At 48.1% G+C, this 17,061-nt stretch overlaps 1 annotated feature.

Annotated features, from left to right (window-relative positions):
- Positions 9,447-9,950: an enhancer, noted in NCBI's record as "H3K4me1 hESC enhancer chr12:125077891-125078394 (GRCh37/hg19 assembly coordinates)". NCBI's record gives its function as "activates a minimal SCP1, AML or CMV promoter by ChIP-STARR-seq in primed H9 embryonic stem cells {active_cell/tissue: H9 hESC(primed)}" and the evidence as "EXISTENCE:reporter gene assay evidence [ECO:0000049][PMID:30033119]".

The following is a 17,061-nucleotide window of genomic DNA, read 5'->3' as shown; positions in this document are numbered from 1 at the left end:
ACCAGATCCATGGGAATAAATAAAACCCACCTCCCTCTCCGGCCTCCCAGGCCCTCTGAGACCTGGCCACCGCCACTGTCCCCATCTCCCAGTGTGGTCTGGCCTCACGAGCCTCCTTGTCGTTTCCTGGACGTTGCAAGCTTGTTCTGACCTCGGAACCTCCGTACGTGCAGTTCCTGCTACCAAGTCTTCTCTCCCCCAAGACACTCACAGGCTCAGCTCCTCTCCTTATTCTGGTCTCTGTCCGAATATTGCAAATGTCCCCATGTTGCAGCCCCTCCCTGGTGCTCCTTCATCCTCTTCCTTCGGCTCCATCTTTCCTTGTGGCCCTCAGCATCATATTTTGTATTCACTGTCTCTCTCCCTCTAACGTCAGCTTCCTGGAGGCAGAGACCTCTTCTGTCTTGCTTATCTTTGTGCTGCCAAAACTGTGAGGTATCCCCAAATGTTAGTCAGCTCCCTCATTTCACCAATGGGAAGGGACCTCCCTCAATGTTTTTGGTAAACTTACATATAAACTTTGGGTGGGGGCGTATGCATAGTCCAAAGTTCACTTGCACATTTATATTAGTGGTAGAGTTACACATGCCTGTTTATGCCTATTTAAAGTCATATGTTGGCTGGGCGCAGTGGTTCATGCAGGTAGTCCCAGCACTTTGGGAGGCTGAGGTGGGAGGATCGCTTGAGGCCAGGAGTACAAAATTGGGCAACATAGGGAGCCTCCTATCTCTACCAAAAAAAAAAAAAAAAAAAAGCAGGCGTAGTGACAGTGTGCACCTGTGGTTTCAGATACCAGAGAGGCTAAGGTGGGAAGGTTGCCTGAGCACAGGAGGTTGAGGTTTCACAGAGCTAAGATCTTCACTGCACTCCAGCTTGGGCAACAGAGCCAGACCCTGTCTGTAAAAAACAATGAATTAAAAAGTCACATGTAGCTGGGCGCAGTGGCTCATGCCTGTAATCCCAGCACTTTCGGAGGCTGAGGCTGGCAGATTGCTTGAGGTCAGGTGTTTGAGACCAGCCTGGCCAACATGGCGAAACCCCATGTCTACTGAAAATACAAAAATTAGCTGGGCGTGGTGGTGCGTGCCTGTCATCCCAGCTACTCGGGAGGCTGAGGCACGAGGATCACTTGAACCCGGGAGGGAGAGGTTGCAGTGAACCAAGATTGAGATCATGCCACTGCACTCCAGCCTGGGCAACAGAGCAAGACTCCGTCTCAAAAAAAGAAAAAAAAAAAGAAAGTCACATATGACATAAGTAACACAGCACATTAAGATACATTTCTTTGTGTTCCATTCTTACATTCATAAAATCATGTTCTCCCAACTCGCCGCCTGTGTCTTTGACACGGTGTCTTTGAGTCATCAAACAGCATTTGGTGGGCCCCATCTGTTCCCCTCATGTCTAGAACTTTGGAGACATGACATTTTTTGAATCTGCCTATGACGCAGCTACTGGAAATTTTATCCCAGGCCGCAAATATCCTTTTGCATAAATTAGGACATTGGTTGTTTCATTTGTTTTGTGGGTGTATATTATTGATGAGTTCCAGCAAGTAACCACGTACTGTGTTACTTTTTAAAGCGATCTTTAAAAGGGTTGTTTAGAGTGATATCCAATACTTCATACCCCTGGAATAATGGCTAAATCTGATGACATTTCTTGACTGTCTCTGTATAAATGATTCCGAGGCCGGGCGCGGTGGCTCACGCCTGTAATCCTAACACTTTGGGAGGCCAAGGCGGGCAGATCATGAGGTCAGGAGATTGAGACCGTCCTGGCAAACATGGTGAAACCCCGTCTCTACTAAAAATACAAAAATTAGCCAGGTGTGGTGGCACATGCCTGTAATCCCAGCTACTTAGGAGGCTGAGGCAGGAGAATCGCTTGAACCCGGGAGGTGGAGGTTGCAGTGAGCCGAGATCACACCACTGCACTCCAGCCTGGCAACAGAGCGAAACTCTGTCTCAAAAAAAAAAAGAAAAAAAAAAAAGATTCCGAGATGAGACTTATAGGAATCTTAGGCCGCGTAGTTTGAGATTGTTTCGGGATAAGGCTGGCATTCTCACCTGAGCGTATTTAGAATCACCTGGGGGAGATTTTAACATACATAGATGGTTCTAGGTTTCACCCCTAAATCAGCAGACTCAAAAATCTTAGAGGGGGACATCTGTATTTCTAAAAATCATCTAGGCAGGCTGAGACCCATGAGGCTTAATTTTGATATGACAAACCAGTTGTTCCCAAAGTGTGGTCCCTGAGTTAGCAACATCAACCGTGCCTGGGAACTTGCTAGAAATGAGATTTTCAGCCCCACCCCAAACCTGCTGAATCGGACACTCGGGAGAGGGGCCCAGCAGTGTCCCTTTTCATAAGCCCTCCAAGGGATTCGATGCTTGTTTAAGTTGTTCTAAACCAGGCTTTGATGTTTTTTTTAAATAAAAATAGGGCCCAGGTGTGGTGGCTCACACCTGTAATCCCAGCACTTTGGGAGGCTGAGGTGGGCGGATGTCTTGAGGTCAGGTGTTTGAGACCAGCCTGGACAACATGGTGAAACCCTGTCTCTACAAAAAATACAAAAATTAGCCAGGGGTTGTGGCATGCACTTGGAGTCCCAACCACTCAGGAGGCTGAGGGAGAGGACTGCTTGAGCCCAGGTGGATAAGGCTGCACTTAGCCAGGCTCGTGCCACTGCACTCCAGCCTGGGCAAAAAAGTGAGACCCTGTCCCCCAACCCCCAAAATAATAATAATAATAATAATAAATAAGTTAATGAGAAAGAATCAAGAGAAAAGAAGCTTCGTAAGGACTGAAATATCAGGTTACTCCTGTTTTTCTGAGGGAAACTTTCAGGGGTTCAGAGAGCTCACCGTATATTCAGAGAGGTATGCTGCTATCTGTTGAGGGAGTGGAATTCATGTGGCTTCCATGTCTTGAGCACTCTCTCAGCACCACACAGCAGGGTAGATGCTTTGCACCACGTCCCAGTGAGATGGGTTCTATTATTATCCCTAGTCTACAGATGAGGAAACTGAGGTCAGAGAGAAAGTTCTTTGCCCAAAGTCCCATGCTTGGGAATGGCAGTGGGTACTCCATCCTAGGGCTGGTCCCCAAGCACAAGCTACTTACTATGACACCTCTCCACTGCAGGGGATGGGGTTCCTGGGTCAGTGCAAGACCCCAGCCTCTGGCCTCCTCCATCTTACCGCTGTCGGGGGTATACTGGCCCAGGCCCCAGCTGCCAGGAGGGACTCCCCTCTGGCCTCAGGGGGCTTGCTGAGCAGGAAGGCTTTGTCATCCCAAGCCCAGGGTGGGCTGAAGTCTCCCTCTGAGGCTTGCATTAAAGAGATTCAGCTGAGAAGCCTGATGAGGCAGGGAGCTTGTCACCCCTAAAATCCAGGCATGTCAATCTCATTATCCCTCAAGGAAAATAAAAGCACAGCGAGAAGGCACAACACACCAATGAGAGAGGCTGGCGTTAGAAAGGCTGGTAATACTAAGCACTGGTGAGGATGAAGGGCAACTGCAAATCCCACACACTGCTGGTGGGATGCAAAATGACAAAGCCAGCCTAGAAAGCTGTTTGGTAGTTTCTTATAATGTTAAACAAACACTTATAACGTGACCCGGCTATTCACCTCCCAGGTCTATATCCAAGAGAAAGGGAAACATATCCTCACACAGAGACTTAGATGCAAAAGTTCATAGCAGCGTTACTCATGAGTGCCCAAACTGGAAACAGCCCACATTCCCATCAATGGTGAATGAATAACCACACTGTGGCAAATACCACAGAATACTGCTCAGCAATCAGAAGTAATGAACTACTGATATGTGCAACACATATCAGTAGTTTATTGTGATGAACTAGTGATTCATTATGTTTTTGATGCATCTCAAAAACATCATGCTGGGTGAAATAAGCCAGATCTAAAGCAATGCATACTACCTAACAGTCCAATGGTGGTTCCAATTCTGTGACGTTCTAAGACAAACAAATCTAAGCTATCAAGAGAGAAATCAGATGAGAAATCAGTCACTGGGAGTTGTGGCAAGGGCAGGGTAGACCACACGGGGCAGGAGGGAGCCTCCTGGGGTGCTAGAAATGGCTCACATCATGACTACGGTGGGGATTACACAACTCTAACAATTCATCAAGCCACACATATACTAGGGACTCGTGTGTTTTTCTTTATACAGGCTAGACGATTTTTCTTTTTCTTTCCAACTTTTATTTTAGGTTCAAGGGGTACATGTGCAGGTTTGTTACATGGGTAAATTGTGTGTCTCAGGGTTTGGTGTACAGATAATTTTGTGACCCAGGTAATAAGCCCAGAACCCGATAGGTAGTTTTTTGATCCTCACCCTCCTCCTGCCCTACATCCTCAAGTAGGCCACGGTGTCAGTTGTTCCTGTCTTTGTATCCATGTGTATGTACTCAATGTTAGTCCCTACTTACAGGTGAGAACATGCAGTATTTGGTTTTCTGTTCCTACATTAATTCGCTTAGCATAATGGCCTCCAGCTCCATCCATGTTGCTGCAAAGGACATGATTTTGTTCTTTTTTATGGCTGCGTGGTATTCCATGGTGTATATGTGCCACATTTTCTTTACCCAGTCTACCACTGATGGGCATGTAGGTTGATTCCATGTCTGTGATTGTGAATGGTGCTGTGACGAGCATACACAGGCACGTGTCTGTACAGTAGAACAATTTATATTCCTTTGGGTATATACCCAGTAATGGGATTGCTGGGTTGAATGGTAGTTCTATTTTAAATTCTTTGAGAAATCACACTGCTTTCCACAGTAGCTGAAATAATTTACATTCCCACCAGCAGTGTATAAGTGTTCCCTTTTCTCTGTATCCTTGCCAACATCTGTTATTTTTTTACTTTTTAATAATAGCCATTCTGCAAAACCTAAACCTATAAAAACCCTAGAAGGAAGGAAACCCAGGAAATACCACTGTGGACATCGGCCTTGGCAAAGACTTCATGACAAAGACTTCAAAAGTCTTTTTTTTTTTTTTTTTTTTTGAGACAGAGCCTTGCTCTGTCACACAGGCTAGAGTGCAGTGGTGCAATCTCAGCTCGCTGCAAACTCCACCTCCTGGATTCAAGTGATTCTCATGCCTCAGCCTCCCAAGTAGCTGGGATTACAGGCATGCACCACCACACCCAGCTAATTTTTGTATTTTCAGTAGAGACTGGGTTTCGCCATGTTGGCCAGGCTGGTCTCAAACTCCTGGCCCCAAGTGATCTGCTGGCCTCGGCCTCCCAAAGTGCTGGGATTACAGGTGTGGGCCACCGCACCTGGCCTCAAAAGTCTTTGATGAAGACTCAAATCGCAACACAAACAATAATTGGCAAGTAGGACCTAATTAAACTAAAGAGTTTCTGCACAGCAAAAGAAACCATCAACAGAGTAAGCAGACAACCTACAGAATGAGAGAAAATATTCACAAAGTATGCATCTGACAAAGATCTAATATCCAGAATCTATAAATTTGTTTAAGGGGCTTAAACAAATCAGCAAGCAAAAAACCAAACAACCCCACTAAAAAATGGGCAAAGGACATGAACAGACCCTTCTCAAAAAAAAAGATACACATGCAGCCAACAAGTGTATGAAAAAAAGCTCAATCATTAGGGAAATGCAAATCAAAACCCAATTTTAAAAAAAGACTCCGAAAAATGCCTGTGTACTACTCATTTCTGCTTCACAAAACAGCCCTCCATCCAAAGCTCCTTGAATATGGCCCCATCCTATAAAGTGCGGTCCAGCTCCCAGGCCCTGAGGGTCTGGCTGGGGTTGGCACAGGTTAGTAGTTTCTCCAGAGGAGGGCAAAGCATAGGCTCTTTCTGGCCATTGGCACCAACACTGTGCTCTCCACTGGGCTCTAGGAAACTCTCCTGGACCCTGAGTTTGTAGCCCCCAGAAGCAGCTCCTCAACTCTGCCTCGTGAGCCTGGACTTAGGATATGTGAGGAACATGGGGACCACAGTCCAGCAATTGCATGCTGCACTGAACTTTGCCCTCAGCGGGGGCATTTTGTGAATGTGTGGGATGCTTTTAGTTTTTGCAATCACCAGAGGCACTGAGGGCTTATAGTGGCTGAAGGCTAGGGCTGCTAAACTTCCCTTAAAATAAAACATGGTCTTATCCCTTATGCCATTTTTCAAATCTCCACTCATCATTTTTTGGTGAAGACACTGTAGTAAGCCAGATCTACAACCTAACTCAGTTGCATAAATAAACTGAAAATATTTTTTGACAAGGTATTTGTTGAGCGCTGGGTTTTCCAGGAATAGAATGAATGTGTAAATTGAGGGAGGAATGTACTCAGTTTTGCTCAGAGCTATGCCAAGAGCTGGGCACCATTTGGGCAAATCATATCACCAATGAACCGCCAACAACACTCACCTGTGCCAGTCTGCACATTACCTGTGCCACTCATGGTAATTCTATTCAGAGGTGCAAACATCTGATGACTACTCGTTATCCAGAATAGTTGCATTTGAGCATATACTTACAGAAATATATATTATAATTTTGAGACAGGTTCTTGCTCTGTCACCCAGGCTGGAGTATAGTGGCGTGATCATGGCTTACTACAGCCTTGACCTCCCATGCTCAAGTAATCCACCCACCTCAGCCTCCCAAGTAGCTGGGACTGCAAGTGTGCACGACCCCACCCAGCTAATTTTTAAATTTTTTTGTAAAGATGAGTCTCACTATACTGGCCAGGCTGGTCTCCAACTCCTGGTCTCAAGTGATCCTCCCTCCTGGGCCTCCCAAAGTGCTGGGAGGATGCAGCCAGCATCCTGGCTGGCTGCATCATGTGCCCAGCCAATACATATTATTATATTATTTTGTTACAAATGACTTTCTTTAACATTACAGATGATCATAGTGTGTGTGTTTGGGTGTGTGAGTGTGTGTGTGTGTGGTGTGTATTTTTTGGCAGTACAATGTATAAGTAACTCCTATCAGTCACGAATCACATTTCAGGATAGTAGAGGAGATATTTCAAACATTTGTTAGGAAAAGGAACATTGAGTTCAAGAGAATTCTCCAGCAAGTGCCTAAAGAGGCGTGCATAAGAGTTTTCATTGCAGCCTTGCTCGTGATTGGGAAAAATTGAGCACGATCCACATGCCCATCAATAGGTGGGTGAATAAATGAACTGTGGCTTGCTCAGCTAATGGAATATAATGCAGCAGTGGAGATGAATGAACTTGATCCATGCTTATCAATGTGACGTGCTGCAAAAACAACAGAAAAGTAACAGACAGAAAATTCCAATTACAAAATAATTCATGCAATAGTATACCATTTAGGTCAGGTTTTAAAACATGTGAAATGATGCTATAGATTGTGAATGGATGCATTCAAATGGAGCAAAACCTCACCCACTGGAAGGAAATTTACACTGGAATCTCAGGATGGTGGTCACGTCTGTGGAGGGAAGGGGTGCATTAGAGGCGGGGGCCATCAGTAATGTGTGGTTGCTTTAAACATGTATCCAAGGCTGTTCTGGCAGAGTAGACCTTTGGTAAACCTTGGAGGCAGGTGCATGAAGTGATCAGGATGCAATCCTTGGTTCCTTGGGGGATGCTTAAAATATGATAGTAATAAGCAAAACCATCCAGCAGGAGTTGCTCAGCCCTTGTGAAAGCTGACAAGACCAAGAGGAGCCATGTCAGACCCGAGGGCTTCTCTCCCGGGGTCATGGAGGAGTGGAAGCCATGGCCAGCCCTCCCTCCCTCCCTCTCTCCCTTTCTTCTTTCCTCCCACCTTACCCTCCTGAGTAGCTGGGATTACAGGTGTGCACCACCATACCCAGCAAAGTTTTAAAATTGTTTATAGAGATGGGGGTCTCGCTATGTTACCCAGGCTCAAGCAATCCTCCCACCTCAGCCTCCCAATGGAGGCCTGCGATGATGGGTGCTGCTGACCTGTGCACAGCCCTTGACAGCTTGCAGAGCACCTCCAGCTGTGGCTTCTTGTTTGACATACCTGCTCAGTAGGTACCACTGGTCTATTTCACTCAAGAGGAAGCTGTCTCACAGAGAGGCAAAGCCACTTGCTCAAGGTCACACAGTGAGCAATGCAAGCCCTTCTGACTCTGGGCCTGGAGCTCGTCCCATACCATCTCCCTGCCTCCTTCCCAGCCCCTCCTCCGAGCCCTCCATCCTACTCTGTGCGCTTGTCTCTTATGCAAGGCCAGAAGCTCCCCAGAGGCAGGGCTTGCAGTTGAGAATCTGGCATCTGGGGTCAGCCACTCACAAGCTGTGTGACCCTGGGCAAGTGACTTACCCTCTCTGGGCCTTCGTCTCCACAGCTATTAAGGGGGTCATTTCATCCAACCTTACAGGGCTGTTGTAAAGATGAACAGCAATGAATATGAAGTGCTCGATAGCGGCTGCCACATAGCAAGCTCTAAAGAGGTGAAAAATTCCCATTCATCTTTGTGTTTCCCCCAAGGGTCCAGAGGGGCACCCAGCACCTCCCTCACTTATCAGCTAAAATGCCTTGGTTGGGAGTCATGGAAAACCCGAATCGAATAGGCTTTGTTGATAGGCAGATCATTGGCACACACGACAAGAAGCCCGGGCCCAGCGGGTCCCGGACATGGTGGCCGGGCTCTGCCTCCATCTGTGCAAAGGCTGAGTGGTGGCATTCTCCTTGGGGAGGCGGCCGTCACACACCCAGGGTTGGATCTGTACAGAACAAAGACGTTTTCGCCAGGAGGCCTCAGGAGATGTCTTTCACATGTCGTTGGCCAGAATGAGGGTGAACATCTGCTCCAAATCAAATTCGGCCAGGAGGAAGGGGCCAGGCCTGAGAGGCTGGTCAAACGCCACCATGCCTTGCAGGGAAGGGAGGTTCCACAGTAAGACACAACTTTCTGATCAGAAGGTTCCAAAGAAGGATTCATTGTAATCTTACAAAGGGCCAGGCATATGGCTCGTGCCTGTAACCCCAGCACTTTGGGAGGCCAAGGTGGGAGCATCACTTGAGCCCACATTTGAGACCAGTCTGGGCAATATAGCAAGACCCCATCTCTATCAAAATTAGCCCAGTGTGGTGGCACATGCCACCTGTGGTCTCAGCTCTCAGGAGGCTGAGGTAGGAGGATCACTTGAGACCAAGAGGTTTAGGCTGCCGTGAGTTATGATTGCATTGCTACCCTCCTGCCTGGGCAACAGAGTGAGACCCTGTCTCAATCGTCATCATCATCATCGTCATCATCATCACCATCATCTCACACAGACAAAGGTCTGTGCATAGGCAGCTGCAGGATTGGCTGCTTGATGCCGTCAGCAAAGACCAAGACCCTTCCCTCTGGTGTCATTGGCCATGTTCCCTCCTCATCCAAAATGGCCACTGGGGCCAGCTGCTTCATCTGATTGTTTTTGAGGCTGGAAAAAGAAGTGGGAAAACCTTCCCTGCATGCCTCACTCTTCAATCAGGGAGAGAAAAACCTTCCCCAGACTCCTGTTAGGTCCCATGGAACAAAAAGAGGTCCTGGGGGGTCTCTCCACACAGAGAATGCGTGTGGTCAGGCTCCTCATAGGCAGAGCCTGAGGCAAGGATTTCTGTACAAGCCATTTATTAGGAAGGTAGCAGTCTGGGACAGGCGGGAAGAGAGTGGGGAAACAGGACGGGGACGACGGGAAGAAGCCAGGCAAAGGATCCCTCGGGAGCTCTGGGGCATCAGTGACAGCCCAGACAGTCCCACCTTGAGGCGAGGGCCAGGCTTTCAGGCCCCGCACCAGCCAGTCCTTGCCAGGCGGCCGGCCTAGGTGGGTAAACTCCAGGCAAGGAAGGAGGAGGCTTAAGGGTCCAGAGTCAACCCTCAAAGGAAGTCAAGGGTGCAAGACAGAGCAGCAGAGTGGCCCAGGCCCCGGGGGTGCAGGCTCAGCTGGGTTACGAGGGTGTCCAGGCAACCACTGCAGGGCAGAATTGGGGCTTCCTGCCGGGGAGAGCAAGGAGCTGGAATGTTCAACCTCGGGGCGAGAGGCAGGCTCTCCTTCGGAAACAAGGAGAGGGAAAGGCGGGTGGGTGGAGAAACAGCAGGATCTGCCGCAAGCCCGGTACGCCAGATGAACCCACCTCTGAACACGGTTGTCCTGGTCAGGACAAGAGGAAAAGGAGGTCATACCGGGTCACAGCAAGCCCTGTGGCCCTGTCCCCCGCCACTTCCCATCCTCTGAGGGGCTTCCTGGGGCCCCTTCTGCCCACTCAGCGCCCTCGGCTTCTTCCGGCCTGAGAGCCAGCAGAACTGAGACCGTGCCCTTCAAAAAGGGAAGCTCTGTCAGCCACCACATCGTGACACTTGTCTCGGAAGAGTGAGAGTGATGAGGGATGGGGGTGAGAATTCTCTTGACTTACATCTTCGCTGGGTTCCCTGAAAAAAAATAAATACTCAAGGTTACAAATGGATGACGGGCTGTGGTCTATGCGTTTTCTTGAATGTCTTTTGCAGTAATAAAGGGGAAGGTTGTTAGCACAAGGTGGGTGGTAAGAAGCTAATTATGGCGCTGGAGGATCAGCGGTGTGAGGAGAGGCCAAGTTGGAGCCCCAAGTGGCGTCTGAGTGAGGAACTGTGAATTATTATGGGTGTGGTAGGGCTGGTGCCGGCTTGCTCTGCGGCAGAGCTGAGTTGCCTGGTCACTTTGCCCTGGCACAAATGCCCAGACAGATACCTTTGAACTCCTGGCCGCTGTGTGCTTTCTTCCATCCCGAAATGTGTGACAGACGCAGGAGGAACTGCAGAAAATTGAGGCGCCCGAGGAGATGGGAGGTGGAGTTTTTCTCCATTTTTTTGACTCAGTAGCTTTGGTGGTTTGGCCTGGATGCAAGTTCTCTTTGCTGACGGCAGGGCCTTTGGCGGGGGCTGCTGGTTCTGGTGCCCTGCTGGGGCCGTGTGGAAGGAGAGGGGAGACTGGGGGCAGAGGTTGTGCAGGTCAGAGTGTGGGGAGGGAACAGGAGGCCAAGGTGGGAAGTTCAAGTCCCACCAAAGTCCTTGGGCTGGGACTTTTGCCAACAGAGGAAGGCCGGATGGCAGAAATGACTCAGGGTGAGCCATCCCCAACACAAAAGCTAGGCCTTCCAGACCATGGTGACCAACTCATCCTGATTGCCTGGGACTTCCCGGGATTTAGCATTGAGGTTCTGTATCCTGGGAAGACCCTCAGTCCTGGGCAAAGTGGGAATGATGGGTCACCCGAATGCAGACACCCCAAATTCCCAAGCAAGAGAGCGGGGTCCAGAGGCAGAGGACACGGCCTCGGAGTCGGGCCAAGCCAGAAGCCAGGGCTGAATCCTGCCACCCCCACCAGCCCTGAGAAACTTTGGCCAAGGGACTGCTCCCTGAAAGACGGGAAGAAAAGTTACCTCGAAGAATCATTTGGGGAAGTGAATGGAATAAAGCAGGAAGCCTAAGTGCCTGGAAGAGAGTGAGGGCCCAGAAATGTCAGGGATGGGCTGGGTGCGGTGGCTCATACTGTAATCCCAGCACTTTGGGAGGCTGAGGCGGTGGATCACTTGAGGCCAGGAGTTCGAGACCAGCGTGGCCAACATGGGTATGGCAGGGCTGGTGCTGGCTTGCTCTGCGGCACAGCTGAGTTGCTCTGAGATTTTTCAGGGCACCGTCTCTACTAAAAATACAAAAATTAGCTGGGTGTGGCAGTGGATGCCTGTAATCCCAGCTACTCAGGAGGCTGAGGCAGGAGAATCACTTGAACCTGGGAGGTGGAGGCTGCAGTGAGTGAGATCACCCCACTGTACTCCAGCCTGGGCGACAGAGCAAGACTCAGTCAAGAAAAGAAAGAGAGAAAGACAGAAAGAGAGAGAGAGAGAAAGAAAGAAAGAGAAAGAAAGAAAGAAAGAAAGAAAGAAAGAAAGAAAGAAAGAAAGAAAGAGAGAGAGAAAGAAAGAAAGAGAAGGAAAGGAAGGAAAGGAAGAGAGATAAAGAAATGTCAGGGATGTTTGTTGTGTGGGGTGGTGGCCGTGTTCTTATCGCCAACCACGGAGACTGAGATGAAGGCCTCTGGCAGATGGAAATTATCAAAGAGGGGACTGCCCTTGACTTTTGGAAAGAAATGCAGATCAGCAGAATGTGCACAAAGACAGAGATAGTTACTACAGCATTGAGAGGGACGAGAAGACGGGTGCACGCTGCATCACCATCAGTCCGGGGCTGGCTGGTGAGTTAGGGTCTATCCATCCAGGGGACTACAATGGTCTCAAAAAAAAAATGTGGATTCTACATAAACTGATGTAGAACGAGCTCCAATACTGATTGCTTAGTGAATATTCAAGAGGTAAAATAGGGTGTATAGTAGGTTGCGTTTGTGTAAAAAAGGTAGATATCATTTGTTGTCAGGAAAAGGCAAATCGAACTACAATGAGATACCACTTCATACCCATTAGGAAGGATGGTTATAATAATAATTTGAAAAAACAAAAAATAACAAGTGTTGGTGAGGATGCGGAGAAATTGCAACCTTCGTGCATTGCTGGTAGGAATATAAATGGTGCAGCCACTGTGGAAAACAGCATGGTGGCTCCTCAAAATGTTAACACAGAATGACCCCACGACCTAGCAATTCCGCTCCTAGGGCTATACCCAGAAGAATTGAACACAGGTACTCAAACAAATACTTGCACATAAATGTTCACAGCAACACTGTTCACAATAGCCAAAAGGTGGGAACAACCCAAATGTCCATCAACAGATGAATGGGTCAACAAAGTGTGGTCTATCCATACGATGGGATATTTTTTAGCCATAACAAGGAATGAAGCCCCGATGCAAGCTACAACACAGATGAACCTTGAAAATATTATGCTAAACGAAGGAAGCCACATATAGAAAAACAAATATTCTATGAATCCATTTATACAAAATGTACAGAATAGACAAATCCATAGAGACAGAAAGTAGACTGGTGATTGCTGGGGGCTGGAGAGGGGCTGAGGGAGACATGGAGATGCTGCGTAACGGGTACAGGTTTCCTTCTTGAGTAATGAAAATGTTTTAGGCCGGGGTGCAGTGGCTTATGCCTGTAATCCCAGCACTTTGGGAGGCCGAGGCAGGTGGATGGCTTGAGGTCAGGAGATCGAGACTAGGCTAGACAACATGGTGAAACCCCGTCTCTACAAAAAATACAAAAATTAGCCTGGTGCGCTGGCATTCGCCTGTAGTCCTAGCTGCTCGGGAGACTGAGGCACGAAAATCACTTGAACTCGGAAGGTGGAGGTTGCAGTGAGCCAAGATCACACCACTGCACTCCAGCCCGGGCAACAGAGCGAGACTGTCTCAAAAAAAAAAGTTCTAAAACTAGATATGGCAATGGTTGTGAATGTACTAGATGTCACTAATGATAAATTTTATGTTATGTGTATTATACCACACATGTACACACAAAAAGGCAGTACATGTATGCATACAAACACATATATGTACATACATGTATGCATACAAACACATATATGTACATACATGTATCCCGTTATATGCACAAAATATCTCTGGAAGGAAAAATTGATGACTATGGCTGTCCTTGGTGATGGGAACTGGGAGCTGGAGATCAGGAAGGGAGACTTTGTTTATTGTATATTGTTTGGGTCTCTTGGGGCTGATTTTATCATATGCATGTATTACCTTAAAAATGGAATAAGGGCCAGGTGCAGTGGCTCACAGTTGTAATCCCAGCACTTTGGGAGGCCAGGATGGGAGGTTCACTTGAGCCCAAGGATTGCAGACCAGCCTGGGCATCATAGTGAGACCCTGTCTCTACAAAAAAAAATTTAAAATGAGCCAGGTATGGTAGCAGGTGCTGTGGTCCCAGTTATTTGGGAGGCTGAGGTGGGAGGATCACTCGAAACCCAGAAGGTCAAGGCTGCAGTGAGCTAGGATGGCACCACTGCACTGCACACCAGCCTGGGTGACTGAGAGAGCCACTGTCTCAAAAAAAAAAAAAAAAAAAGGAGTAAGTTCCCCAGGTGAATTTTAAAAGAATAACATAAGAAATTCAGGGGAAATCATGACATGTTCAAGACACGTCCCCTTTGCGGGCATGTGGATCATGTGGCCAGACAGCAGGAAAAGCACTGAGTCACTCGTCTTTGATGAAGCCCTGCCTTTGCCGCTGAGGACAAATGTTCTTTCCAATCCCACGGGAGGAAGAGACGTTCTAAAGAGAGAATTGAATTCATGGTTGGCCAGGAGACAGTGAAAGAGGACCCAGGAGAAATTGCTGGAAAGTAAGTAAAGCCTGAAGATGGGCAAGGGCCCCAATTTTCCAAAAGGGAAAATGATATGGATCCTGGAAACCCCAGATGGGGTATGTCTGACAGCAAGAGATCTTCGCAGAATTCTGGAACAGAGCATTACACAGATGGCTTGTGGCTGTTTAGAAGAAAATATGCTTATCACGAGAAGCTAACACAGGTTCACTAAACTACCCCATGCCGACTAATGTCAATTTCCTGTTTTCATGGGGAGACCACCCTGGTAGACCAGATGGCCACTTAGGACCCTGCCCTCCTGAAAGAGAAGTAGGATTGTGGTTTCAGTATCTTTAGAGTGGGAACTGTGATCAATTCTTCAATTATTTGCCTTGTGTTGCTAGCATCTGCATTATCCAGCAATATTACTCCTATCCCACATGTCTTAGGTAATTTCCCCTAATAATTGTTTGCCTATTTGTAGGCTGCTCAGACTTATCTTAATAACTTGTATTAACCAAGCATCTTTTGGTGGCAGGGGAAATGAATCCAATTCAAATAGTCTTAAGTAGAAATGTCTGGCAGTTTATGGTTTCAGGCATGGCTGGATCCAGGCGCTTAAATGACATCATTGGGAACCTGTATCCTGTTGTACGTTGGATCTGCTTTTCCTGGTGTTGGCTTCATTCTAGGGCTGGATTTCCTCAAATGGAGGAAAGATGGTCCCAACAGCTCTTAGATGACCTCTTATCACTTTGGTAACAGCAGAAAGGGGTCACCTCATGACTGATAGCTCAGTTGTCCGGGCCAACTCTGATCAGCCCAGCTGGATCTTATGGCCACCCTTGAGCCAGTCACTATGTTTCTGCTGGGTTGGGTCATATCCTCCATACAAGTCATGTCAGATATGATTTCATTTAGTGTGTGGGAGAGGAAATGTTCCCCATGGAAAACTGAGATGCTATTATCCGGAAAAGAAGGAATGGACACTGGCCAGGCCAAAACAAGCCTAATTTAATTTGATGAGATAGGCACACATTGTGCATGGGGGAGAGTCCCAAATGGCACCCCAAAGCCACAATGAATCTGCACCAAAATGTGCTGCACCCCCGATTAACACAGAAATGAGAGTTAACTCATGGATAGTACTAGGATCCATGATGACGAGATGGTGATTTTGGGAGATGTGTTTGTACATGAGGTCACACCTGGGCCACACAGGTGGGTCCTGGTGAGGCCTTTCTGTCTAGAAGTGAGGGCTGTGTTCTTGAGACTTTGGTATTACCGAGGGGAGAAAGAGGAAGAGCTGGAGGTCAGAGAACGTAGCTGCAGGCTAGGCAGATGCGACCAAGGTCAGAGAGATGGTGTCCAGGAAGCATGCAGCAGTGTGAGCTGCAGTCTCAGACAGGAGGTGTCCCCCTCTTCTCAGCTGGACATGAGGAGTCTCCTAGGTGTGCCTTTGGCAGAGGTGGAACCCGTGGCTCAGCACCCTCCCAATGAAGGCAGGGGAAGACATCTAGGTCTGGAATGTAAAGCAAGTGTCATCAATTACTAGCTGCTTCTGGGTGTGGCGGCTCACACCTGTAATCCCAGCACCTGGGGAGGCTGAGGAGGGAGGATTGCTTGAGTCCAAGAGTTCAAAACCAGCCTGGGCAACATAGCAAAACCCTGTCTCTACTAAAAACATAAAAATTAGCCAGCGGTGGTGGCACATGCCCGTAGTCTCAGTTACTTGGGAGGCTGAGGCAGGAGAATTGCTTGAGCCCAGGAGGCAGAGGTTGCAGTGAGCTGAGATGGTGCCACTGTACTCCAGCCTGGACAACAGAGTGAGACCCTGTCTCAGAAAAAAACAAAACAAAACCGTAATAGCTTCAACCTTTGGCATCTATTGCCTTCGACACTCTGTTGCAAAGAATTAAAGGCTTTATCTGGAATCAGTGGACAAGAGTGATGGGATGGATTACCAATGCCTGCTCCTGGGGTGGAGAGTGGCAGGATAGACACGCCTCATATTTGCTGAGACGGGGTGGGGTCTTCTCCAGGCTGTTGCGAAGAGCGGGGGTGTCAAGAGGCCACCCCAGCAACTGAGGACAGATTTCTTTCCATCCAGCGCTCTATGAAATCATCTCTAAGCAAACAGTGCTCTCTCTGCTGCACCTGCTCTCCATGCCTCTCCTGCAAAATCAACAACAGGTGTTTGCTGCTCATGCGATTCCAACCACCAAAAATAGGCATGACAAGAATGACGGGATAGGCAGCGTCCCGATTCCAGTCATTCCTGAAGCCCCTTCGCATGTCCACACACCTGTGCACTGCCGGGTCTGTTGCTTGGCTAGCATTTTTCTTAAAATCACTTCACTTTAAAACAGTTTTTATTAAAGTATGGTATGCATACAGAAAAGTATGGCTGAAGTGTATGGCTTAAAGGATTTTCATGAAACGATCACACCTGTGTGACCAGGACTCAATTCAAGAAACACAACATTCCCAGATGTCCCCTTAAGATCCCCTAACCCAGACCCCTTTTTAGTCACTAACCCTGAAGGGTCAGTACTAGCCTGACTTCATTTGTTTTTTTTTTGAGACTGGATCTTGCTCTGTCACCCAGGGTGGAGTGCAGTGGTGGGATCCCCGCTTACTGCAACCTCCGCCGCCTCCCAGGTTCAAGCAATTCTCCCTGCCTCAGCCTTCTGAGTAGCTGGGACTACAGGTGCCCACTACCACACCTGGCTAATTTTTATGTTTTTAGTAGAGACGAGGTTTCGCCATGTTGGCCAGGCTGGTCTCAAACTCCTGACCTCAGGTGATCTGCTGGC

The sequence above is a fragment of the Homo sapiens genome, chromosome 12 (genome assembly GCF_000001405.40).
Source record: "Homo sapiens chromosome 12, GRCh38.p14 Primary Assembly".
NCBI lineage: Eukaryota > Metazoa > Chordata > Mammalia > Primates > Hominidae > Homo > Homo sapiens.
This window is presented reverse-complemented; position numbering and strand designations above follow the sequence as displayed.